Source organism: Homo sapiens, chromosome 12 (assembly GCF_000001405.40).
Source record: "Homo sapiens chromosome 12, GRCh38.p14 Primary Assembly".
In the NCBI taxonomy this organism is placed as follows: domain Eukaryota; kingdom Metazoa; phylum Chordata; class Mammalia; order Primates; family Hominidae; genus Homo; species Homo sapiens.
Genome location: NC_000012.12, coordinates 18,739,189 through 18,766,802, shown reverse-complemented (window position 1 = coordinate 18,766,802; position 27,614 = coordinate 18,739,189). Strand labels below are relative to the sequence as shown.

At 38.4% G+C, this 27,614-nt stretch overlaps 1 long non-coding RNA gene across 3 annotated transcripts in view, besides 1 other annotated feature; it reads right to left on the bottom strand.

Moving 5' to 3' along the window:
- LOC102724227 (uncharacterized) overlaps positions 1-13,643 on the bottom strand; it is a 64,172-nt gene extending 50,529 nt beyond the window's left edge. For all 3 annotated transcript variants that reach the window (XR_001749032.2, XR_429054.4, XR_931403.3), the window contains exon 1: positions 13,033-13,643. This is a non-coding gene — a long non-coding RNA (uncharacterized LOC102724227). The remainder of the gene's footprint in view (positions 1-13,032) is intronic.
- Positions 12,843-13,414: an enhancer, noted in NCBI's record as "NANOG-H3K27ac-H3K4me1 hESC enhancer chr12:18906323-18906894 (GRCh37/hg19 assembly coordinates)". NCBI's record gives its function as "activates a minimal SCP1, AML or CMV promoter by ChIP-STARR-seq in naive H9 embryonic stem cells {active_cell/tissue: H9 hESC(naive)}" and the evidence as "EXISTENCE:reporter gene assay evidence [ECO:0000049][PMID:30033119]".

The following is a 27,614-nucleotide window of genomic DNA, read 5'->3' as shown; positions in this document are numbered from 1 at the left end:
CCATGTGTTCTCATTGTTCAACTTCCATTTATGAGTGAGAACATGCAGTGTTTGTTTATCTGTTCCTGTATTAGTTTGCTGAGAATGATGGTTTCCAGCTTTATCTGTGTCCCTACAAAGGACATGAATTTATCCTTTTTTATGGCTGCATAGTATTCCATGTTATATTTGTGCCACATTTTCTTTATCTAGTCTATCATTGATGGGCATCTGGGTTGGTTCCAAGTCTTTGCTATTGTGAATAGTGCTGCAGTAAACATACATGTGCATGTCTGTTTATAGTAGAATGATTTATATTCCTTTGGGTATATATCCAGTAATGGGATTGCTGGGTCAAATGGTATTTCTGGTTCTAGATCATTGAGGAATCACCACACTGTCTTCCACAATGGTTGGACTAATTTACATTCCCACTAACAGTGTAAAATCGTTCTTGTTTCTCCACATCCTCTCCAGCATCTGTTGTTTTCTGACTTTTTAATGATCACCATTCTAACTGGCATGAGATGGTATCTCATTGTGGTTTTGATTTGCATTTCTCTAATAACCAGTGATGATGAGCTTTTATTTGTATGTTTGTTGGTTGCATAAATGTCTTCTTTTGAGAAGTGTCCATTCATATCCTTTGCCCACTTTTTGATGGGGTTGTTTTTTTTCTTGTAAATTTGTTTAAGTTCTTTGTAGATTCTGGATATTAGCCCTTTGTCAGATGGATAGACTGCAAAAATTTTCTCCCATTCTGTATGTTGCCTGTTAACTCTGATGATAGTTTCTTTTGCTGTGTAGACGCTCTTTAGTTTAACTAGATCCCATTTGTCAATTTTGGCTTTTGTTGCCGTTGCTTTTGGTGTTTTAGTCATGAAGTCTTTGTCCTGAATGGTATTGTCTAGGTTTTCTTCTAGGGTTTTTATGGTTTTAGGTCTTACATCGGAGTCTTTAATTTAACTTGAGTTAATTTTTGTGTAAGGTGTAAGGAAGGCATCCAGTTTTAGTTTTCTGCAAATGGCTAGCCAGTTTTCCCAACACCATTTATTAAATAGGGAATCCTTTCCCCATTGCTTGTTTTTGTCAGATTTGTCAAAGATCAGATGGCTGTAGATGTGTGGTGTTATTTCTGAGGCCTCTGTTCTGTTCCATTAATCTATATATCTGTTTTCGTACCAGTACCATGCTGTTTTTGTTACTGTAGGCTTGTAGTATAGTTTGAAGTCAGGTAGCGTGATGCCTCCAGCTTTGTTCTTTTCGCTTAAGATTGTCTTGGCTATACAGACTCTTTTTTTGTTCCATATGAAATTTAAAGTAATGTTTTTTTCTAATTCTGTGAAGAAAGTCAATGGTAGCTTGATGGGGATAGCATTGAATCTATACATTACTTTGGGCAGTATGGCCATTTTCATGATATTAATTCTTCCCATCCATGAGCATGGAATGGTTTTCCATTTGTTTGTGTCCTCTCTTATTTCCTTGAGTAGTTGTTTGTGGTTCTCCTTGAAGAGGTCCTTCACATCCTTTGTAAGTTGTATTCCTAGGTATTTTATTCTCTTTGTAGCAATTGTGAATGGGAGTTCACTCATGATTTGGCTCTCTGTTTGTTTGTTATTGGCGTATGGGAATGCTTGTGATTTTTGCCCATTGATTTTGTATCCTGGAACTTTGCTGAAGTTGCTTATCAGCTTAAGGAGATTTTGGACTAAGATGATGGGGTTTTCTAAATATAGAATCATGTTATCTGCAAACAGAGACAATATGACTTTCTCTCTTCCTATTTGAATACGCTTTATTTCTTTCTTTTGCCTGATTGCTCTGGCCAGAACTTCCAATACTATGTTGAATAGGAGTGGTGAGAGAGGGCATCCTTGTCTTGTGCTGGTTTTCAAAGGGAATGCTTCCAGCTTTTGTCCATTCAGTATGATATAGGCTGTGGGTTTGTCATAAATAGCTTTTATTATTTTGAGATATGTTCCATCAATACCTAGTTTACTGAGAGTTTTTAGCATGAAGGGGTGTTGAATTTTATCAAAGGCCTTTTCTGCATCTATTCAGATAATCATGTGGTTTTTGTCCTTGGTTCTGTTTATGTGATGCATTAAGTTTATTGGTTTGTGTGTGTTGAACCAGCCTTGCATCCCAGGGATGAAGCCGACTTGATTGTGATGGATAAGCTTTTTGATGTGCTGCTAGATTTGGTTTGCCAGTATTTTATTGAGGATTTTCACATCAATGTTCGTCATGGATATTGGCCTGAAATTTTCTTTTTTTGTTGTGTCTCTGCCAGGTTTTGGTATCAGGATAATGCTGGCCTCATCAAATGAGTTAGGGAGGAGTCCTTATTCTATTGTTTGGAATAGTTTCAGAGGGAATGGTACCTTCTCCTCTTTGTACCTCTGGTAGAATTCAGCTGTGAATCCGTCTGATCCTGGGCTTTTTTTGGTTGATAGGCTATTAATTACTGCCTCAATTTCAGAAATTGTTATTGGTCTATTCAGGGATTTGACTTCCTCCTGGTTTAGTCTTGGGAGGGTATATGTGTCCGGGAATTTATTCATTTCTTCTAGATTTTCTAGTTTATTTGCATAGAGGTGTTTATAGTATTCTCTGATGGTAGTTTGTATTTCTGTGGGATCAGTGGTGATATCCCTTTTATCATTTTTTTTATTGTGTCTATTTGATTCTTCTCTCTTTTCTGTATTAGTCTGGCTAGTGGTCTATGTATTTTGTTAATCTTTTCAAAAAACTAGCTCCTGGAATCATTTATTTTTTGAAGGATTTTTCATGTCTGTATCTCTTTCAGTTCTGCTCTGATCTTAGTTATTTCTTGTCTTCTGCTAGCTTTTGAATTTGTTTGCTCTTGCTTTTCTAGCTCTTTTAATCGTGATGTTAAAGTGTTGATTTTAGATCTTTCTTGCTTTCTCCTGTGGGCATTTAGTGCTATAAATTTCCCTCTAAACACTGCTTTAGCTGTGTCCCAGAGATTCTGGTACATTGTGTCTTTGTTCTCATTGGTTTAAAAGAATTTCATTATTTCTGCCTTAATGTCATTATTTACTCAGTAGTCATTCAGGAGTAGGTTGTTCAGTTTCCATGTATTTGTGTGGTTTTGAGTGAGTTTCTTAATCCTGAGTTCTAATTTGATTGCACTGTGGTCTGAGAGACTGTTTGTTATAATTTCTGTTCTTTTGCATTTGCTGAGGAGTGTTTTCTTCCAATTATATGGTCAATTTTAGAATAAGTGTGAAGTGGTGCTGAGAAAAATGTATATTCTGTTGATCTGGGATGAAGAGTTCTGTAGATGTCTATTAGGTCCGCTTGGTCCAGAGCTGAGTTCAAGTCTTGAATATTCTTGTTATTTTTATGTCTCATTGATCTGTCTAATATTGACAGTGGGGTGTTAAAGTCTCCCACTATTATTGTGTGGGAGTCTAAGTCTCTTCGTATGTCTCTAAGAACTTGCTTTATGAATCTGGGTGCTGCTGTATTGGGTGCATATATATTTAGGATAGTTAGCTTTTCTTGTTGCATTGATCCCTTTACCATTATGTAATGCCCTTGTTTATCTTTTTTTATCTTTGCTGGTTTAAAGTCTGTTTTATCAGAGATGAGGATTACATCCCCTGCTTATTTTTGCTTTCTATTTGCTTGGCACATATTCCTCTATCCCTTAATTTTGTGCCTATGTGTGTCTTTTCATGTGAGATGGGTCTCCTGAATACAGCACACTGATGGGTCCTGACTCTTTATCCAATTTGGCAGTCTGTGTCTTATAATTGGGGTATTTAGTCCATTTACATTTACGGTTGATATTGTTATGCATGAATTTGATCCTGTCATTATGATGCTAGCTGGTTATTTTGCCCGTTAGTTGTTGCATATGTTATAAAGCAACTACAAAGTTAGTTTCTTTATAGTGTTGATGGTCTTTACAATTTGGTAGTTTTTGCAGTGGCCGCTATCAGTTTTTCCTTTCCATATCGCTTACAAAGCTTAGTTTGGCTGGATATGAAATTCTGGTTTGAAAATTCTTTTCTTTAAGAATGTTGAGTATTGACTCCCACTCTCTTCTGGCTTCTAGCATTTCTGCAGAGAGATATGCTGTTAGTCAGATGTGCTTCCATTTGTGGGTAACCCGACCTTTCTCTCTGGCTGCCCTTAGCATTTTTTCCTTCATTTCAACCTTGGTGAATCTGACGATTATGTGTCTTGGGGTTGCTCTTCTTGAGGAGTATCTTTGTGGTGTTCTCTGTATTTCCTGAATTTGAATGTTGGCCTGTCTTGCTAGGCTGGGGAAGATCTCCTGGATAAGATCCTGAAGAGTGTTTTCCAACTTGGTTCCATTCTCCCTGTCACTTTCAGGTACACCAGTCAAATGTAGGTTTGGTCTTTTCACATAGTCCTGTATTTCTTGGAGGCTTTGTTCGTTCCTTTTCATTCTTTTTTTCTCAAATCTTGTCTTCATGCTTTACTTCATTAAGTTGATCTTCAATCTCTGATATCCTTTCTTCTGCTTGATCAGTTCGTCTATTGATACTTGTATATGCTTCACGAAGTTCTCATGGTGTGTTTTTCATCTCCATCAGGTCATTTATGTTCTTCTCTAAGCTGGTTATTCTAGTTAGCAATTCCTGTAACCTTTTTTCAAGGTTCTTAGCTTCCTTGCATTGGGTTAGAACATGCTCCTTTAGCTTGGAGGAATTTGTTATTACCTACCTTCTGAAGCCTACTTCTGTCAATTTGTCAAGCTCATTCTCTGTCCAGTTTTGTTCCCTTGCTGGCGAGGAGTAGTGATCCTTTGGAGGAGAAGAGGTGTTCTGGTTTTTGGAATTTTTAGCCTTTTTGCACTGGTTTTTCCTCATCTTTGTGGATTTATCTACCTTTGGTCTTTGTTGTTGGTGACCCTCGGATGGGGTTTCCGTGTGGATGTCCTTTTTGTTGATGTTGATGCTATTCCTTTCTGTTTGTTAGTTTTCCTTCTAACACTCAGGCCCTCTCCTGCAGGTCTGCTGGAGTTTACTGGAGATCCACTACAGACCCTGTTTGCCTGGGTATCACCAGCAGAGTCTGCAGAATAGCAAAGATTGCTGCCTATTCCTTCCTCTGGAAGCTTTGTCCCAGAGGGCACCTGCCAGATACCAGCCAGAGTGCTCCTATATGAGTTGTCTACCCCTGCTGGGAGATGTCTCCCAGTCAAGAGGCACAGGGGTCAGGGACCCATTTGAGGAGGCAGTCTGGCCCTTAGCAGAGCTCGAGCACTGTGCTGGGAGATCTGCTGCTCTCTTCAGAGCTGGCATGCAGGAACATTTAAGTCTGCTGAAGCTGGGTTGACAGCCGCCCTTTCCCTCAGGTGCTCTGTCCCAGGGAGATAGGGGTTTTATCTGTAAGCCCCTAACTGGGGCTGCTGCCTTTCTTTCAGAGATGCCCTGCCCAGAGAGGAGGAATGTCGAGCTGCAGTGGGCTCTGCCCAGTTCAAACTTCCTGGAGGCTTTATTTACACTGTACAGGGAAAACTGCCTACTCAAGCCTCAGTAATGGCAGATGCCCCTCCCCACACCAGGCTCGAGCGTCCCTGGTCAACTTCAGACTGCTGGGCTTGTAGCGATTTCAACCAGTGGATCTTAGCTTGCTGAGATCTGTAGGCATGGGATCCACTAAGCTAGACCACTTGGCTCCCTGGCTTCAGCTCCCTTTCCAGGGGAGTGTATGGTTCTGTTTCACTGGCATTCCAGGAGCCACTGGGGTATGAAAAAAATCTGCTGCAGCTAGCTTGGTGTCTGCCCAAACAGCTGCCCAGTTTTGTGCTTGAAACTCAGGGCCTTGGTGGCGTAGTCACCCAAGGGAATCTCTTGGTCTGTGGGTTGTGAAGACCATGGGAAAAGCATAGTATCTGGGCTGGAACCAGCCATTCCTCATGGCACAGTTCTTCCTGGCTTCCCTTGGCTAGGGGAGGGAGTTCCCCTACCCCTTGCACTTCCCAGGTGAGGCAATGCCCCACCCTGCTTTGGCTTGCCCTCTGTGGGCTGCATCCAACATCTAACCAGTCCCAATGAGATGAACTGGGTACCTCAGTTGGAAATGTAGAAATCACCTGCCTTCTGCATTGATCTCGCTGGGAGCTGCAGACTGTAGCTATTCCTATTCAGCCATCTTGCCAGTCACTACCGATTTTTTTTTAGTAAATGATTAGATTCTCTTACATTTGTTTTAAATGGATTAAGAAATATGAACTAAAATCCAGAGGGTGAAGTAGCATCTTCTTCCATGAAGTCTACAGATCAGAACAGTTAATGCTGTTGACATGACTTTGCATTGACCTTTTGATGAAGAGAAAAATGTTGTCAAAAGTTATAATATGCTTAAATGAAAATGAACTTCAAATAGAATCTTAATTACTAAAGCAACTGGACTGGAAAAGATGATGTTAACAGAAACATAGTTAATTTTTCAGAAAGTACCATGGAATAAATTTGCATTCACTAGTTAAGAAAAATAACAGCACCAAATATATGAAGACTCTTGGTTTTAACATATTACTTTCTGAGCATGTAGATAGATGAGCAGGAAGGTGACTTTAATACAGATGCATTTGAGGCTTTAATTCATTAGCAATTCAAGAAGGAATAATAAATACTTCAAATAAGCTGTGCTTTTCATATCTGCTCAGTAATGAAATTTTAATTAACTATAGAACCAATTATAAGATTTTGTATAAAATATTGCAAGATTAATTTTTTCAGTGGCAATTAAACTGTTCAAGTAGAGATTCTGCTAGGTTTTGTCTAGAAAGATTTTCCTTCTTTCTTTTTTTCAATTTTTTATCATAATAAATGTAAAAAATATATAAGAATTCCAATTTTGAAAACCAAATCCCTTTCTTTTGTCTGTTGTATGTTTCATATATGGACAGTCCCCAATGATAGGTTGACTTACTATTTTTCAGCTCTATAGTAGTGTGAAAGCAATGTATTCAACTGAAACTTCAAGTGCCCATACAACCATTCTGCTTTTCACTTTCAGTAGAAACTTCAATAATTTCCATGAGATATTTAACACTTTATTATGAAATAGGCTTTGTGTTAGATAATTTTGCCCAACTTTAGGCTAACATAAGCATTCTGAGCATGTCTAAGGAATGCTAGGCTAAACTATGATGTTCAGTAGGTTAGGTGTATTAAATGCATTTTCAACTTATGATACTTTCAACTTATGATGGGCTTATTAGGACATAACACCATTACAAGCAGAAGAGCATCTATATATATTTTGTGTATCATATATAAAAATTTTAAAATATAAAATTATATATCACCTAATTTACGTAAAGTGTTAGCCAAAAGAGAGACTGCCATCTACTTTATAGGCCCTAAAGGAGTTATGGGTCCCTTTACGTGGAAGTGAGTGAAATACTCAGAAGTCTAAGATACAGACATAAGCCTAAAGAGTTTTTCAAGTCCCTTTTATTTTCCTGCCAAAAATATTAAGTAATAAACAACTATTGGCCAGGCACCATGGCTCACGCCTGTAATCTCAGCACTTTGGGAGGCCAAGGCAGGCAGATTGCTTGAGCCCAGGAGTTCGAGACCAACCGGGGCAACATTGTGAAAACCCATCTCTACAAAAAATATAAACATTTGCCAGACATTAGCCTTAAGAAACATAATTCTTAAATAATAAGACTTGAAAGTCAAAATTACCCCTTGATTCATGGACTGCAGAATGGATGTTGTGTTAGCAGGTATAAAAACTCTTTGTACATCTTTCCCAGAGTTCTTGGGTGACTAGGTGCATTGTCAATCAGTAGTAGTACTTTGAAAGGAATCTTTTTTCTGAGCACTAAGTCTCAACAGAGAGCTTTAAATATTCAGTAAACTATGTTGTAAATAAATATACTGTCATCCAGGCTTTGTTGATGCACTTATAGAGCCAGGCAGAGTTGATTTAACATAATTCTTAAAGGTCCTATGATATTTGGAATGGTCAACGAGCACTGGCTTCCACTTAAAGTCACCAGCTGCATTGAAACTCTGCATTTGAAACTCTGAAGTCAGACACTGACTTCTTTCTAGGTATGAATGTTGCAGGGTGCATCTTCTTCCAATAGAAGCCAGTTTTGTCTACAATGAAAATCTGTTGTTGAGTGTAGCTACCTGCATCAATGATCTTAGCTAGATCCTCTCGGTAACTTGCTGTAGCTTTTCCATCAGCACTTGCTGTTTCACTTTGTACTTTTATGTTATGAACATAGTTTCTTTCCTTAAGCCTCAAGAACCCACCTCTGCTAGCTTTCAACCTTTTGCCTGCAGCTTCCTCACCTCTCTCAGTCTTCACAGAATTGAGGAGACTTAGAATCTTGCTCTGGATTAGGCTTTGGCTTAAGGGAGTGTTGTGGCTGGCTTGATCTTCTCTCCAGACCACTGCAACTTTCCCCCTATCAGCAATAAGGCTTTTTGCTTTCTCATTATTCATATATTGACTGGAGTAGCACTTTTAATTTCCTTCAAGAACTTCTCCTTTGCATTCACAATCTGGCTGTTTGACACAAGAGACCTAACTTTCGGCCCATCTTGACGTTTAACATGTCTTCCTCATAAGCTTGTTTCTAGCTCTTGATTTAAAATAAGAGATATGTGACTCTTCTTTTCACTTGAACACTTAGAGGCTATTTATAGGTTATTAATTGGCCCAATTTCAATATTGTTTTGTCTCAGGGAATAGGAGAGCCCAAGGAGAGGGAGAAAGATGGGACAATTGCTGGTCTGTGAAGCAGTCAGAACACACAATATTTATCAATTAAATTTGCTGTCTTGCATGTGCGATTACAGTGTCAGTAGCAATATCAAAAATCACTGCCAGGTGTGGTGGCTCACGCCTGTAATCCCAGCAATTTGGGAGGCCGAGGTGGGTGCATCACCTGAGGCCAGGATTTTGAGACCAGCCTGGCCAACATGGTGAAACCCCATCTCTACTGCAAATACAAAAAAAAAAAAAAAAAAATTAGCCGTGTGTGGTGATGGATGGCTGTAATCCCAGCTACTCAGGAGGCAGAGGCGGAAGAGTCTCTTGAACCCAGGAGATGGAGGTTGCAGTGAGCTGAGATCGCACCACTGCACTCCAGCCTGAGAGACAGAGTGAGAGTCTGTCAAAAAAAAAAATCACATATCATCATAAAAGATGTGATAATAATGCAAAATTTGAAATATTGCATGAATTACCAAAATGTGTCACAGAGACGTAAAGCGAGCACAGGCTATTGGAAAAATGGCATTGATACGCTTGCTTGACACGGTCAGCTTCAAGCTGTTGCTAGCTTGAAGTGAGGAGGCAAATGACTACAAATTAGGCTGTTGATTATTTTATATGCAACTGAAAAGTGTTCTGGAACTGTCAAATTCCTTAAGATAGTAGATAAAAACTGTTACATGATTTTTTTTTTCAGATTGGAGTTTCTCATATGCTGAAGTAGTTAAACTTATTTTCTGAAATCATTTCATAAAATAATTATTCTGATTTCTGTCAGTCTAATCTTGTTTCATCTCTAAAATATTTAATATTTTCTACTTCCTACTAGGAAAATATAATTGAAACTAACTGCTGGATTAAGTAATTTTTAGTAGTACATATAATTTTTAAAATAAAATACATAGACAATTTTGATTAGAGATTTGTTAACTATACTTTATACATAGTTCATGTATATATATATCAGACTCCTCACTATAAATAACTCATAATTTAGTCTTGCAAATTAAGAAATAAAAATGGCATTTGATCATGTCAATTTATTAGAAAATGATAAATTACATTATGTAGATATGAAAAATTGCAGTCTTGGTTGCTTTTAGTAACTTACATTACAAGATATGACTTCTAATTTATTTCACAGTGAATTTTATATTTCTGAAAATACGTGTATTATCCTTTTACTGGAAGTTAAAACTTGAGGTCTGATTTTTTTTTAAGAGTGGCTGATGGCTGACATTATTAAATGTGGGTTGGCTTGCTTAATTAGGTTATATGGTGGATATTTCCCACTAATTAAATGAGCATAACACTGCATTTTGTTCCTGGATGTTGACAGTTTTCAAAGATGCATTGAGTTGAATATTTTAATTTCTCCCTCCCTGCCTAAATATATTGAATTAAACACAACCCCTTTCAGTGAAAGAGCCACTGGTATAGGCTTGTCATTGAGTGAGTCATGGTAAAGACTTTGTGCTCTTAGCGCTCTTCCTTTCAGAAATTGAGGATGTCAGTGGCTCTAATAATAGAATAACAAGTCCATTTTCAAATATATTGGTTTCTTATTGTTTGCTTTCAATATAACAGAAGGGCTGGCTAACAAAGTGTCCATTGACATATTATTAAAAATAATGTTTGATGATAGACTACTGTGATTTTTTTGGTATAAAATTCAGAAGAATTTAAAGAACTGAGTGATATTGTCATAAGAAAACTCTTTCCCATTCACTTTTTTTCTGATCAACGTTGCTCATTGCTCATATCTATGAAGTAAAAATAAAAATAGACTGGATGCTGAACACTCTGTCTTTCTAGTAATAACTAATATTCATTGATAGATATATAAACTAATCCAAAATAAATGAGCTTGATCCATGTCAGTATGAATTGTGTTTTCAATAAGTTTAAATTTTTATCTTTAAAATTACATTAAATTTGTTAATATCTTTATGTTGTTTTGAATAGTTGTTTATAGAAGAGAAAATTTTTAAATCTTTTAGACTGGTGGGCACAGGAAAAAATCATACACATGTTTTTGTAGCAAACATGTATGACAGAATAATCAGTGAAAGACTTTTCAGCATAAAAATGTATTAAATTAGTATAAAATGTATTGGTGAAATGACATAGAAAGTTCAAACAGAGAAAGAAACTACATAAAATTAGGGAAGTGTTCGTCTTTTTTTAAGAAAATGAATAAATCTAGTGTATTTAGATTCTGCTGCATACTTAAAAAATCTGATAAAAAGATTTTATTTGAAAATGTTGATATTTACAATATGTCTCAAACTACATGTTACTTTTCACTTTTTAAAAGATAAATCTTAAACATCAACTTAAAAATGTACAAGAAGATACCTATTTTTCTAAAATTCTTCCAAAATTTTAGGGATTTGTCAGTTGAAGTCCTCTATCTTAGGGGACCATGTTTTCTTGGTGATAACTTTTAAAGTCTGTCTTTTTCTTTATTGAAGGAATTATTTTTGCCTGGATGGTGGCCAAGCCTCTTTATCTCCAAGAGGGGACTGCACCAAGGTCCTCAGGAACATGACCACATTAGTGGTTGAATCAAGGCCCTTCAGCCTGTTCTAACTTACTACCCCAGCCTTGCACTGTGGCCCCCACCAGAGCTCCATACTCTCTCCACATCAAATCTCTCAGTCTGTGACAATATCAGATCCTTTTGTACTTTGGTGCTTTGAACCTTACGTTTCTTCTGCCTGCAGCCATCATCTCACTGTCAAAGGCAAAGGCAAAAACAAAGACAAAAACTAAAACCCAGAACATGTAGGGAGATTGATTTTATTTGGAATTTTGCAATACCAAGAGCACCCCAGATCTGAGGATCAGAGCGTGTCATCAGGGTGGTTTTGCCTTGGATTTTATAACAAAGAGCTTGTCTAAGCTATATGTGGGATGACTTCACAGTTAGGATTTTTTTTTTTTTTTTTTTTTTTGTAATCAGGGGGAGACTCAGTCTGTCAGGTTGTTACTGGAAAGGGGTTCCAATCCAGACTCCAAGACAGGGTTCTTGGATCTCGTGCAAGAAAGAATTCAGAGCTAGTCCATACAGTAAAGTGAAAGCAGGTTTATTAAGAAAGTATAGGAATAAAAGAATGACTATTCCATAGGCAAAGCAGCAGCACGGGCTGCTCAAATAAGGATACTTATAGTTATTTCTTGATTATATGCTAAACAAGGGGTGGATTATTCATGAGCTTTCCAGGAAAGGGGTGGGCAATACCCGAAACTGAGGGTTCCTCCCCTTTTTAGACCATATAGGATAATTTCCTGACATTGCCATGGCATTTGTAAACTGTCATGGTGCTGGTGGGAGTGTCTTTCTGCATGCTAATGCATTATAATGAGCAGTAAGGACAACTAGAGGTCACTTGTGTTACCATCTTGGTTTTGGTGGGTTTTGGCTGGCTTCTTTTCTGCAACCTGTTTTATCAGCAAGGTCTTCATGACCTGTATTTTATGCCAACCTCCTATCTCATCCTGTGACTTAGAATGTCTAATCTCCTGGGAATGCAGCCCAGTAGTGATAGGGACAGGCGGCAAAGAAATTCTGGGCAGAAGAGGGCAGGTCCCTGGTAAGGGCCCCACCCTCAAGCCAAAAAGCCGGAGACTGCAGCCCAAAGTGAGAGTTTACATCGCTGTTTTCCTGCTTGAATGTTGCCTTTTCCAACACAACCCATAGACCCACCCTGCCCCATTCTGTGCCTGTAAAAACCCCAAACCCAGCCGGCAGAGAGAGGAGAAGCAGCTGGACGTTGGCTACTACTGCTGGGTGTTGGAGAAAAGTGGCTTGACTTCAGAGGGACAGATTGACAGCTTCTCTGGTAACTTCAGAGAGGAATCCGGCAGGAGATAGCTGGACTTTGGGGGAAGAATACCTTCCCACTTTATCCCCTTTGCAGCTCTCCTTCACATTGAGAGCCACTTTCATCTGCAATAATATCCCCCACGTTTACCATCCTTCAATTTGTTCACATGATCTCATTTCTCCTGGACACTGGACAACAGCTCGGGAGCTGTGAGTGTGGATGCAAAAAGACTGTCACACTGACCCTTTGCCTTTGTTGGCAGAAGGCAGCTGCCTCACATGAAAAGGCAGAGGGTACACTGAGCTGTTAACGCTTAAGCTGTCCATGGAGGGAAGAGCGAAAAGAGCTCTCTAACACTCCCTCTGGGGCTTCAAGGGTCGTGGGCACCCCCGCAGTGCTGCCGCTGAGCATGCACAGAGTTTGCTCTTGCCAGCACCCAGTAGCACTCACCCTGGCTCCTGCACCCGCTTACCTGTGTGCCCTGTCCGACGAGGGGTGGAAAGCAGCGGGTCTGAGTGAGTGGAGTTTGCTCTTGCCAGCTATGAAGTAGCCAGCTGATTCTAGCACTCGTGTATTCCAGTTCCCGCCTTGTTGGCTTGCTCACTCCCTCCTATGAGGAGTTGAGAGCTGTGGGCTGAGTAAACGGGGCACCCCTGTTGCGAGTTCCACAAAGGGGTCAGTGAAATGTCCTGCTTCAGTAGGTCTCAGCCTTATTTTATCCAGCCAGTATTCAAGTTGCTCTGGTTCGAATGCCTCTGACAAGATGAACAAGAAATGTTTATCTCTGTGTCAAGCTAGTTTTGGGAGGATAAACAGTTCAGCTAATTATTTATGAAACAAAGACAGTTTTTCAGGGTCTGGCTTTGTTATACAGAAACATTTGTGAGTCTTATGTGAGTTAGGAGAAAGAGTGAATTTTGAGTCTCATGTGTCACCTGGGAAGGGGATTCTTTGCAGTAAACCCTTTCCCAGAACACAAAAAGGGTGAGGAATTCTGGAAAGCTACTTTTCAGAACCACAGGGCATAGGTAAATTTCAGTGTCACCAGCCTGGTTAAACCTTTGGGTCCTAAGTACTTCCTTTGTCAAACTGAATCCTCAGGCTCCCCAGGAAATAGAATTGAGACAGGGATTAGCTTGCCGGATGTTTACTGGGAGGTCCTTTTGGGATTAACAGCTGTGGAGAGCAGGTGAGAAAAGCTGTTTAGGGTGGAACAAAATTCCACAAACCAAATCTGGTTCATGGCCTGATTGTATTTGGCCCTGAGATAAGTAAGAATGGTTTTTACATTTTCAATGGGTTTAAAAAAAAAAATAGGCTATCCGACAGAAATTGACCTTATGTGGCCTGCAAAGCCTAAAACATTTTACTCTGTAGCCCTTTCAGAAAAAATTTGCCTACTCCTAGGTTGGAAGGGGGACGGGGAACTGCTGATTCAGTCATAACAAAGGCCTTAGTCAATCCTCCTGGGAACTTGGAAGCTGGGATGATGCTGCAAAGTTGTCTTGAACTGGGGCAAAGGGGTAGGATTTCCCATGTGGTCTGCTCCTGGGAAGGAACCTTATCTTGATGAGGCAGCTGGAGGACGAGTGCTTCAGTCCTCCAGGGAGGGTGGGGGGTGGTGGAAGCATTCACTATGTGAGCCTTCTCTAACTTCCTGAGGGAGAGTTTTTTGCTCTCCTTTCGTCTCCCACAGTGTGAAGTTTTTGCCTAATTAGTCCTTTACATGCCAGTATCCTCCTCTCAGCTGGGACCTACCAGGAACAAGAAGAGTGTGCAATTTCCTTTTGTGCTCCTAGTGCGTAATGTAGAGTCTGGCATAAAGATTGGGCTCACTAGCTATTAACCGAATGAGGAAATATTCTTGCCTTTTATAAGACTGAAATATGGAAAATAATCTGTCTAGGCATTCATAGAATAAGTGGAAGGGTTTTTTAAGAGTCAGATATCTTGTAAACCAGACCTTTGTTTATTTTTATGAAATGGATATGAACGGATGCATGACATTTGAATACAAGAAAAGTAGAATGTCCAATTTCAATCACACACTTGGATTTGGGAGAAATTCTCCCCCTGGCTTCATAAGCTGCCCTATTAATGTTCCTGACACTTCCTGGCATGTGGTAGGAACAATATGGATTTCTCTGCTGGACTTTGATTAGCTTCATTTATCTCTAACTTCCAAACACAAAACTCACTATCTCCTGCCACTCTTCAGATGAGCCAACTTAATTCGCTTCCTCTGGACCTGAATCAGAAAAAGCTGTTAATTCTAGGACAAGGGATTCTAGATCCTGCTTACCATGAAGGGGAATATTGCTTTATTTATTCTTTGTATTGATTGAATCTATAGGAACAAGAAGCAAAGGTACTAATTTCTCAATATTGCTCTCTGTTAAAATTATTATCTCTGAATTGCAGGAAACATAGAGATAACACCTGAAGTTACAATAACTATCGCTCTTTAAAAGGTCCATAGCAAGACTCTGTCTCAAAAAAGAAAAAGAAAAAAAAGATCTTCAGCTCCTGGAGAGCAGAGATCATTACTCATATTGTTTTTCAGTCTATAGTTCCTGTTACAGGGATGTTTTCAGGACAATAACTTGTAGAATGAATTGATGGGAAGTAAATTCTTTGTGATATGTCTAGTACTATAACACAGTATGGGTTAAAGTTTATGCTTTGCTCCACCAACAGTAGATGAACTGTACTTGTTTCAGATATTTTCACATTCTGTAGACTTTTGGGGAGAGTTTACTGTTGGCATCATTTGAAGTTTCTACATGGTCGCTTTCCCAGAAGAAAGCTAATAGAGTGGGCGTGCAGAAAAAGAGAATAGTTTAATTTGACGGACAGCACACCTAGGTTTCTAACTCTGGATGTAGATGGACAGCATTGACAGAGGGATCAAGAGGGACTCTGTTCTATTCTACTGACTCCATATTCTCTCAACATAGCCATTCCAAATACCTTTTGGCTTCAGTGCATACAAGTTGTATTTTAATTATATGCTTAAAATGTAATTGTATATATTTTGAGTTTGGTTATCATAATGCCTATAGTATTTTCTAGTGCTGCAGTATGAACTGTGCATTTCTAATGCACTCTATTTCACAGAATCACATATCTTGGGGTAGATGTAAATTGGCTGTCCAATATTAAGTCTTCGGCTGTCTGTCCTTTGTGCCAGAAACTCCAGGGCATCCTGGGAATACATGTGATTGTGTTTCAAGGGCACCAAACCATCTACAGTACCTATTTGAGAAGTGTCAACTCATTTTCTGTTATACTGTCATTTCCCAGAAAAATATCACTAATAATTTTACAGCTAAATTCCTTCTAATTTAACACTCTGTTTAAAGAGAAATGGATTTTTATCTTTGTGGTTTTGCTTTTTCTGACATATTCATTGAACTATAATAAGTAAAAATTTTAAAAATGAGTAGTTCAGCAACTTCTTTTTGTTAATTTTCTTCACCACCAGGAGACTAGACCAGGCAACAAGATAGATATGAACAAAGTTGAGGATTAGAGGGGGCAACTGGAGAGGCAGGAAATTTCTGCACTCCTTTGTGAAGCAGTTTTATAGAAGAGAAAATTATTAGAATTTTGAGTGAATCACAGTACAGTTATACTATATCTTTATGGTCAGGTTTTCATAATCTACTGATCTGGTAAGAAGAAATACACAACTTTTTCAATTTCCCAGTTAGAATTTGACACTGCTTACAGGTCCTGGCCTCTTTTGATCTCTCCTAAACAATCCTTTGGTAACAGTGACAGCCTATGAAGCCAAATTCACTTTTTCCAATCACCTCCTAGGTGAAAACAGAGATAATCTGTTTTTTCCAATCCCAGTTTGTGTTTGTCTTGAGAAATTCAACCCCAGCCAGATGAGTGGCATTTCTTGCTTTGCTCAGAGCACACCCTTGCCCAGCACTCAGCCTCATCTGATTACAACAGACCACTCACAGTTACATAAGGCAAGGTTGAAGTGTGGTGCTCTCTCCCTGACACAAGCGGAGGAGAGGGAAAATGTGGGGACATATTTCAGTTTAGCTTTGGCAGCTTTAACCTCATGCTGCTTCTGAATAAATAAAACAATTTTTTACTTCTGTTTGTTTTCCCTTTAGTTTCCTCCTTTTGTGGTTCTGGTTGTTTATTTTTGGTTTGCTTTCTTATTTCCCTTGTTTTAGCTTTTTTTATTCACCTGTTTTCTTTTATTCCCCATAGCTCATTTCTTTTCTCCTCTCTGCACAGGCAACCATTCTAATACATTTAATGTGTATTTTTTTTTTAAAAGAGCATGTGTTCTTGAAAAATGTATACTGCAATTTGTAAGCATCTCCTTTCAATTTTTGCATTTGTTATTGTGATATAAATCGCACTGTGTCTTACTCTTTGTTACCCAGCTGTGTGCTTTTAAGATCCACTCATGTTGCTCTGGGTATGTCTACTCCATTACTTGCAGCTGTCCCTGGTACTCCTTGGTGTGTATCTGCCACCTTTACCTTTTCATTCATCGAAATTGCAACTAACTTCCTGCCACTGCAGTGAACATCCTTGCACATGTTTTCTTCCAGAGCAGTGTGAGCATTTTGGAAAAAAATAGACCCAGGAATGGAATTGCTAAGTCATAGGGCATGCCTGCGATTAATTTGACTAAATAGTGCCACATGGCTGACAGCAGCCCTTGTCTACCTTCCCACTAGCAATGTATGAGACTTCTAAACACACACACACACACACACACGCACACACACACACCCTCTAACCAGAATTTACCTAAACTGGCTTCTAATTTTTGCCTTTTTAAAAGTGTGATATAAAACTAATTGCAGTTTTAATTTGCATTTCTTTGATGATTTCATATGCTTTTTTTCTTAGTTCTTCTGGGTTTTCTGTTCTATAAGTTTTTATATACTTCACCCATTTTTTGTATTAAGATTGCTATTTTCTGGTTGATTTGAACAGTTTCTTGTGTCAAAGTGTGTGTATACTGCTAGAAGAAAGAAGGGTAAGATTTACTTCTCTTCTTTATAGCGTCCCACTCAAGGTCTCAGTAATTTTACCCTTCATCAGCCATATGAAGATATTTTTCAAAGATTTGTTACAACTTATGAGAGCATTACAGTTACCTTGATTTACTAAGAAATTGTAGATTATTTTCTTTTAAAGTACCACCCACTTGTCGGCAACTTGGAAATAGAAATGAGAATGGAGCTGTTGAGACTTTCTTTCTTAGGGCAAGTTCCTCCAATTATCAGAAGGTACAGGGGAAAAAAATTGACATCCAATTCTACTTCTGCCATAATGCACAGCTGGGCTGCCCCATAATGATGGAAATGTGAGAAGCTCTTTCCAAGCATCTTCTCTGAAATTAGGTGTTGGCTCAACCATATCCTTTGTGTCCAAACCCTCACATGTCTAAACCCTCCTAAGATCTGCCTGATGGGCTTAGTAATAATAGAGGAAATGGAACAAAATGTGAATATAATGCTGGGCCAGGACTATAGTATTGATTAAAGTTGCATGATTGTTTTAAAAAAGCACTCAAATTATCTGGGCCTTGTTTCAGTTTCCCGAACTATAAATGAAGAAACAAAACTGTATGGTGGCTATTGTCTTTTAGTTAAGAAAGAAAAAAACAAAACACAAAACTATTAAAGTCTTCAAACTGTTTTCAAGCTTATACATGGCTCATCAGCAGAAGTCTTCAACATGAATTTTTCAAGGCAAGAATGGAATTAGTCATAAGGAAATTCCCAAAGAAAAGGAAAATTCTTTGTAGAAGGAGACTTTATCCAAAAATGAGGTATAAAATGAAATACTGAGGTGAATGCGCAAAATATTTATTAGGAAGCATTGAGAAATTATTCCAATATCCCTGCTAAAAAACATATAATGTATATAGAATTTTCCAGTATCTTCAGTAATAAGCCTTATATGATACTTCACTGTCACTGTGTTTGCAAATCACAGTGTTGAGATCAGCCTGTTGGCTGCCTAGCTGAGTGGTTTTCCCAGGTTTGATAAGAAAGCAGTCTTACATACCAATAAGTTAACTCACTCTCTCATGCCACAACTGCCTCTGAATTTAGGCTACATTTGCATGCCATTAGGGTCACAGATCACATTCCCAGGGAATGAAGAAAATAAATCTGTCCAATTAGCAAATCCTATTCGCACCACAAATTCTTCTTTATTTGCATGAGTTTGGAGTCTGAACATGGTGTTTGCAAAGCAAGGGCACTTTACATATTCTAAAATAAGAATGAAAAGTGACTAGGGAGATAAGAACAGTATGGTAAGAATTATATTTGTGTAACAAAATTAATTCAGGAAAGCTGTTGCATTTATAACCTAGAAGAGGTTGTCCTTTTCAGGGGAATTAAAATGGACTAAAATATACAGAACAGTTACTTGAAAAGCTTCCAAACACATCTTTTATGTAGTGATACAAAATATATTTATTTACTTAAACAAATGGCATTTCCAAATGAACAAAAGGATAAAATATCTTTAGTGAATGCCAGATGCTCATCTTATCAAAATGAAGCTCTGTAAGGTGTCAGAAATAGCATTCAGATGAATGGATGTTTGATATCTCCTATTTGCTCTTCCAGTCTTACTTTCTTCCCTTCACCACCCTATTGTTAACCTGTGGAGGCTGATGTGTATGGACTATATTCATGGGCTCTCTTGTCTGTCCTCCGTTTGTAGATTGAGTTAGCTAGAGAGCCCTGACGGAGACTGGAGAAAGGAGGAGAACATTTATGCTGTTAGCTTTTTCCCTGAGCAATGTCTTTAGACTGTCAGTGTCGTTCCACAGAAGTTTACACCCCTTCTTATGGTGGCCCAATAAATAGACTCCTCCTTCCAGGCTCCAGTGACCACTCCCTAACCTAGGCCTAAAGATATGAACTGCTTTCATGTTACTTTACCACTCCATGTGTTTCCACATCTTTGTTGATAATTCTTTCATTATACCTTCTTTGAATTATTAGATTGGTATTTGTCCATCTGTTTCCTGTTGGGATCCAGATTTACTGAATTTGGAAGACAAATCTTGCCCCCGGCACCTTTTTAAAGAATCTATGTCCACTTGGCTTGTAATAAGACATCAGGAGTGAATTGTCAGGGAAATAACAGAGTGAGGAAATTATATATTCTCATTATGTGCCAGGTACCATGAAACACTTTTTAATTGCAAATCTGTACATCCAACCCAGAGGTATCTGTAAATTGGAATTTCTGAAAGGTAGAGAGCTTGGCTGGACTGGGGAATGATGCTCTCAGAAGCTTTCTCTTATCACTGGGAAATATTGCCTGTCCAGCTCTGGCCAACCTGTGAGACTGATGGACGTTCTCTTCTTTTGGACATTTACTCATTCACCAATCATTTACTGCTCATGAAATATATGTAAACACCATACGAGGTGCTGCAGATTTGCAGCTGCAAAGTGCTGTACAATTAACTCACTATCTAATTTTAACGTTGCAAAAATCTTCCCCATTTAACAGATGGAACAATTGAGTATCAAACAAATCATATGTTTTAACTATGCCTAAAATTACAAAGATAGTAATTGGTAGAATAAAGACTTGAACTTATGTAGTCTGACACAGTGTTTCATAGATTTCCACTATATTACCTAAGAATGAAAAAAAAAATTCCTCCTTTAGTTTATTAACAGAAGCAGAACACACGCAGACACATTTAATATTCAAATTAGGGTGAACAGGCTGAGCGCGGTGGCTCACACCTGTAATCCTAGCAACTTGGGAGGCCAGAGCAAGAGGATCCCTTGAGGCCAGGAGTTCAAGACCAGCCTGGGCAACATAGCAAGTTCCCATCTCTGAAAAACAAACAAACAAAAATAAGGTGAACAAGTACCAAGGCAGAATTAGAGATAAAATGTGTTCACTTTTAGGGAATTTAGAGCACCTCTGGTGAGGCCAGTAGAACAGGCTTTTTAAAAAAGATGCTGGAGGCCAGGCACGGTGGCTCACACCTGTAATCCCAGCACTTTGCAAGGCCGAGGCGGGTGGATCACCTGAGGTCAGGAGTTTGAGACCAGCCTGGCCGACATGGTGAAACCCCATCTCTACTAAACGTAGAAAAAATAACCAGGCCTGGTGGCGCATGCCTGTAATCTCAGCTACTTGGGAGACTAAGGCATGAGAATCACTTGAACCTGGGAGGCGGATGTTGCAGTGAGCCGAGATCCCACCACAGCACTCCAGCCTGGGCGATAGAGCAAGACTCCATCTCAAACAAAAAAAAAAAAAAAAAAAGAAAAAAGAAAAGACAAAGAAAAGATGCTGGAAGATAGGGACACTCAGGTCATGGAGGACATTAGACTGCTAAGCTAGGGAATTTGAAATGTATCCCCTACTTAGTAGATATTTGTAAAAAGTGTTTGATCAGGATTGTGAGGAATATCAGTTAATAAGCAATTGAGGCTTATAAAGATGAATTTGGAAAAACTTCATAGAATAGGTTGGAGACTAAGAGAAAAAGAAATGAAAACAGACCAGTTAGACAACTTGATAAGTGAAAAATAACAAGGATTATTAAGGGGATAAGAGAATAAATTTTAAAAATTGCAAAATAGAAATAGACCCAATGAATTGAATTTTAATAAATGGATAATTAATAAATGACAAAGGGAATAAATATGGAAAATGCTTTCAAGGATAGAAACAAAGGAATCCAATGACTTATTGGATTTTATTTTGTGTTGTTTTATTTTATGATTTTACTTTTTAAAATCTTTGATTGTAGGTTCAGGGGTACACATGCAGGTTTTTTACACAGGTGCATTGTGTGTGACAGGTGTTTGGTGTACAGATTATTTCATCACTCTGGTAATAAGCATAATACTCGATAGGTAATTTTTAAATCCTGCCCCTCCTCTGACCCTCCACCCTGAAGTAGGCCCCAGTGTCTGTTGTTCCTTTCTTTGTCTCCATGTTTAGATCCCACTTATATGGGAGAAAATGTAGTATTTGGTTTTCTATTCCTGGGTTAGTGTGTTTAGGATTATGGCCTCCAGCTCCATCCATGTTGCTGCAAAGGACATAATCTTGTTCTTTTTTATGGCTGTATATGGTGTATATGTACCACATTTTCTTTATCCAGTCTACTGCTGATGGGCATTTAGGTTGATTCTATGACTTTGCTATTGTGAATAGTGCTGCAATGAACATATGTGTGCATGTGTCTTTAAGGTAGAACAATTTATATTCGTTTGAGTATATACCCAATAATGGGATTGAGGGGTTGAATGGTACTTCTGTTTTAAGTTCTTTGAGAAATCACCAAACTACTTTCCACAGCGGATGGACTAATTTACATTCCCTTTGTGTGTTCCCTTTGGAAAACAAGTTAAGAATGCTTAAAATCTTGACCTTGAGTTAATGGTAAGATAGTGCTTCCAAGAGCGGAAAATAAGAGAGAGTAATTTGTTTGAAGTGGGGCTAGGGGACAGGAAAGAAAGAAGCGATTTGGATCTGGGAATGTTGATTTTTGACATAGTATGGCTTGGACTGGTAGGCAATATTGGAAATGTGTAATCATTGTCAGGAACTGGGGATAGGGGAAATGGAACATTGTTCTTCAGTGGATATAAAGTTTCTGTTATGCAAGATGAATAAGTTCTAGATGTCTGCTGTACAACATAGTACACATGGTTAACAATACCTCATTGTGTGCTTTAAAAATATGTTAAGATAGATCTCATGTCAAATGTTTTTACAAAAAAACCTCACAAATGAACATAAGGAAATGTTTTGAGGTGTTGGATATGCTTAGTACCTTGGCTGTGATGGTATCATGGGTGTATGCATATGTCCAAATTCATCAAGATATATGCATAAATGTGTGCAATTTTTGTATCTCAATTATACCTAAGTAAAGCTGAAAAAATGAGAGGACAAAGAACTAAAGTTGGAAGAAGCCTGTGTTTGGCTGAGGGGTGGATGAGGAGATATGGAAGAAATAGTGGATGAGGAGATATGAAAGAAAGTAGAGAAGAGATAAACTAAGATGCAGGCACAACTGAGGAAGTAAGGTTTTCAAGATAAAACCAAGTCCCTGTGATAACTGAGGAAAGGTAATTGGAATGAATAATTGATATTGAAACTTTTGAGAATGGGTGTTAGTTATGCTGATGGAATAGAAGCCAGGGGGTAGAGTTAAGGCAGCATGGCAAGGTGTAGAGGGCATGAATTTTGAAGTGTGACAGGCCTGAGTTGGAATTCCAGTTTTGCCACTTACCAGCTGTGTCAGTTAGGCCACGTTACCTAAGAAATGATAAAGGGGGTATCACCACTGACCCCACAGGAGTTTGAGACCAGCGTAGACAACATGGTAAAACTCCATCTCTACAAAATATTAAAAAAGCTAGGTGTGATGGTGCATGCCTGTAGTCCTAGCTGCTTGGGAGGCCGAGGTAGGAGGATCTCTTGAGCCTGGGAGATGGAGGTTGCAGTGAGCTGTGATTGTGCCACTGTACTCCAGCCTGGGTAACAGAGTGAGATACTGTCTCAAAAACAAACAAAACAAAACAAAACAAAACAAACAAAACAAACGCCCTGATGGATAAAGAGCCTAGATGGGAAAAGATCAAGAATTTAGGATTCAATGCACAGGAGGAAAAGTTAGTCTTAGAAAGGAACATATACTTCTTTGGTGACTATTTGGAAGGAGAAGAGCATAAACATATTTTTAAATGCAGAGAAAAGCAGCAGTAGCTCTTTCGAAAGAATGTGTCTTCTCGGTGAAGGAACAAAGTCGTTTGCTATGTGAAGCAGTGATGAAGAAGTGGAGCTTAGTAAAGTAGAGAAATTTGAAAGCATATCATAAAAAAGACTACAGACGTTAGTAGAAAAGAATAAATAGATTGCTCATCAGGAGTGAAAGACAAGTGACTGAAGTAGAGTCAAGATAGATTTCATGAGAATTTAGGAAAAGGTAGACTGGTAACCCATTTTCTAAGAATAGTAGCAAACCCTAGGGAGCTGCTTCAGTTATCCAAGTAAAGGGGCCAGAATCTAAGGTACGTCATGATGAGAAGATTGAGAAGAAGGTGAGATAAATCAGTAACATGGCCAAAAATTGGCTGAGTGGCAGTGAACCAAAATCACTTTTCATATTGACTCACTAAAATTTAATCTACTATGGAGAGGGCCTTTATAAGCTTTTGAACATCCAAAGAGTTGAATAGGAGCTCCAGTTGATTATTCCCAGAAATGCATGATACATAGAAGGGAGTAGTTAGGTGTTGTATAAAGTGATAAAAGTGCAAAGAAAGTGGAAACGATGAAGCATGCTTTAATCACAAGGCACTCATGAAGCCAGGGCATGTTCCAGAGCAGCAGGGACATACCGTAACATGCAGGCATGTTGAAAGATGTAAGTCTCCTCATGGACCTCTGCTTGAGTAGAACATGATACGGTCATTCCTTTAGCTCTCTGAACCAGCCTCCAAGGATAGAAAATCTTTGACAGAGAATCATGTAAAATGTAATCAATGTAAAATGAAAAGAAATGTATGACTTTTGAAGAACTTGATTTTCTTACATTTGATAGAGGAAAAATCTCCTACCATTTGGAGTCAGAAAAAAGCAAAGGTTTTCATCACAGCAGAAGACCAATGGCAGTTTCTGAATGGAATGAACTGCCTTGGAGTAAGGGGTAACAACGTCAGCACTGGGAATCTGCGGTGGGATGCATGCCTCCTAAGGGACAGCGGGTGTTGGTGGGTTACAAAACCTTAAGGCCAGTTAAACCTACTGTGCTTCCTATCTTTGTGATCCTTATTGATTTGTTCATTCACTCATTCATTTGAGTACTTACCATATGACAGACAATAACGGATTAGGTACTTGAGATTGACAAGATCATCATTCTCATGGAGCTTATATTTCTGTTGGGAGTGGGATTTGAGGGAAAGAATGCAGTGACTCCTCAATCTGAAATATTTTTTATGTGTGCATGTGCGTAGGCATGTGTGTATGTATGTGTCTTGAGTGCAGGTCTAAGTGTGTGTGTGTGTGTGTGTGTGTGTGAGAGAGAGAGAAAAGAGAGAGAGCGAGGTCAGAGAAAAAGAGAGGAAGAGAGGACAGAAAGAGAGAGAGAGAGAGAGGTACGGGGAACAGGTAGTAACTGCATTTCCCTGGACCTGCCAATTTCCATATAAGGAAAATAACTACCAAATTAAATATCTTTGTGGGACTACTCTTGACGTAATGAAGTATAAGTTCATGAAATAACTTTTTTTTCCTGTTTTGTATTGTCTAAGATTTCCTTGTTGCTTATCAAAAAAATTTGATATTATATGGTCAAGATTACTGTGCTGAGCTAGATACTCTCTTAATGCTACTAATGGGATGATAAATTTGTCAAAATCTTTATGGAAAGCATTTTGGCAATATATATTAACTATTAATATGTTCATGTCTTTTTAATATGCAGTTTTAAGGAATTTATCTCAAGGAAAATAACCTATGATGTGGACAAACAAATGTTCATCATAGCATCATTAATAACAGAGATAAAATGCTAAAAATTTAAATTATATATGAATAGAGAAATGATTTGTCTTGTTATGGACATCTACAGTATGAATATTGTGTAAATAATTAAAATTATGTGCTCAAGGAGTTTTTAATGACATGGGGCAATGTTTATGATATATGTGTTATAAAAAAGAACAAGATACAAATTTTTATATTTTGTCTATTCTTCATATTTAAAGCAGTTCTATAAAATTAGACAGAAGAAAATGGGCCACAATGCTTTATGCTTTAAGCATTTTCCACGATTTGTACATGTGACTTTTATATTCAGAATTATCAACAAATATTACTTAAAAAAACCCTATGTTAAAGCAGGAGCTAAATGCCTCTGTAATTATCCCACAAACCACTGGGTCCTAATCTGCAATGATCTGGAAAATCAACCCTTACACATATAACCATAATATCAATTCAAATTTTTGCTTAAGGCTTCACTGGATGGCTGTATTTTAGTGCTATGAGAGCAACTTTCTTTTCTGCTTTTCTTTAGAAAGTTTGTTTTTACCTTTTTTACATGGCAAGGCCCGTCCTTGGTCTGTGCATAGTAAATGCAGTAAAGTGGTAGCAATGGCCTTCACTGGGCTATGGTTTTGTGGGAAATGATTTTAATTAAGTAAAGAGAAAGCACAGGACATGCTATTTTAAGATTAGGGAACATTTCTTAAAATGTGGCCCTGAAATATTTTGCATCAGTGTAACCTCTGATACTTGCTAAAATGCAGATTTCCCAGCCTACTAAATCAGAATCCTAGGATGGGCCCCAGTAATGTATATTTTTAAAGATAAATCCCAGGTTATTCTCCTGAGATTCTCTAAGAATCATCAGCTGGGGAGGTTTGAGGTTTAGAAATTCTTGCACGGGATCTGAATGCTCCAATGTTAATAAGTAGAATTAGAACTGTTTTTCAATTGCATAAACACAAAATACAAAACACTTTGCTTCTTAGATAAATCAGAATTGGAGGATGGGGCCTACCTACTGCTGTACTGTAATCTTGTTAAAGAGTTTTACATTTGGGAATTTATTGAAAGAGCAGATACCAGTGGTCAGTAACATTGCTAGGAATAGTGGTAGGGTGAGTGTATAGGTGATTTACTCTGGCTAGAAAACAGCTGTCACAAGTTCCATTTCTTCTGGGATATCCTTTAAGGTGGAATGCTTGGCAAAATCAATGTACATCAGAGTCCATAACTCATAATGAAATAGGCTTCCATGGGGAACTGTTGTACCCTGAAGCATGAGCACTAAGTCAGATACACTTGTCACTATGTGGTACGGTCTGATTGTTTGTGTCCCTCAAAATTTATATGTTGAAACTGAGTCCCCGAGGTGATGGTATTAGGAGGTGAGGACTTTGGGAGGTGATTGGCCATGAGAGTGGAGCCCTCATAAACGATATTAGTGCCATTAATAGAAGTTCTACAGAGCTGCTTTGCCCCTTTTACCATGTAAGGTCACAGTCAGAAAGTCCTATCTATGAGGAAACACACCTTTACTAGGCACTAAATCTGCTAGCAACTTGGTCTTGGACTTCACAGCCTCCATAACTGCGACCAATAAATTCCTGTTATTTGTGAGTTACTCAATATATGGTATTTTGTTATAGCAGCACAAGTGAACTGTGACACTATGTGTCTGGAAGATGTGAACAACTTGAGAACTTAGGTTTTTCTTAGGTACAACGGAGATAATACTAGTACCAGATTAGTGATGAAAAATGTTATGCAAAATATTTAGCACAAGCCATGTTATGTAATAAGTACTTCTAAGTGTTTACAGTGACGACTTCACAAAAGCCTGGCTGTAAAAGTTTGGGAAGTCAGGCTTCTCTGGTTGGCTTGGAAGACCATGTTAGTTATCAGACAAGCCAGGGATTTTGAGTAACCCCAATTCTTGAGGGGAAGAAAGTAGAGTGGAAGAGGAGCCAAAATTACTAATAGTCCTTCATCTGAGCTAGATTTTTGATATCTGTTGGTTTTGTGGAAAATCCAAACCTAATGTCTTTTATTGAAATTCCCCATCTCGTGGATGGTCTAGGACTGAATTGAGTTATGTAAAATATCATTTGTGGAGTGATATTCATTTGTATACCTTTTCAGTTCGAAACAGTCAAAAGTCTCTCTCTCTCTCTCTCTCTCTCTCTCACACACACACACACACACACACACACACACGTACACACCCACACACAGCCTTAACCCTGGCCACCTCTATACTATTTCTGGAATCCCAGATTCTATAAAACTATTTTAGTTTCTAACAAATGTCTTGGTCTTTATGATGGTCACCACCATGAAACACAGTTACTTTACACTTTCTTGCCTTGTTCATAAATATTCCCCAAGTAAAATTACTTGCTACACTTTTCCCATTTAAATTTGCATTGGCTAAGTGAGAGACATCTCTACAGATTGCTCAATTTTAGGAAAATAACCATTCCCAAGAAACACAAACAAGTCAAATCAAGA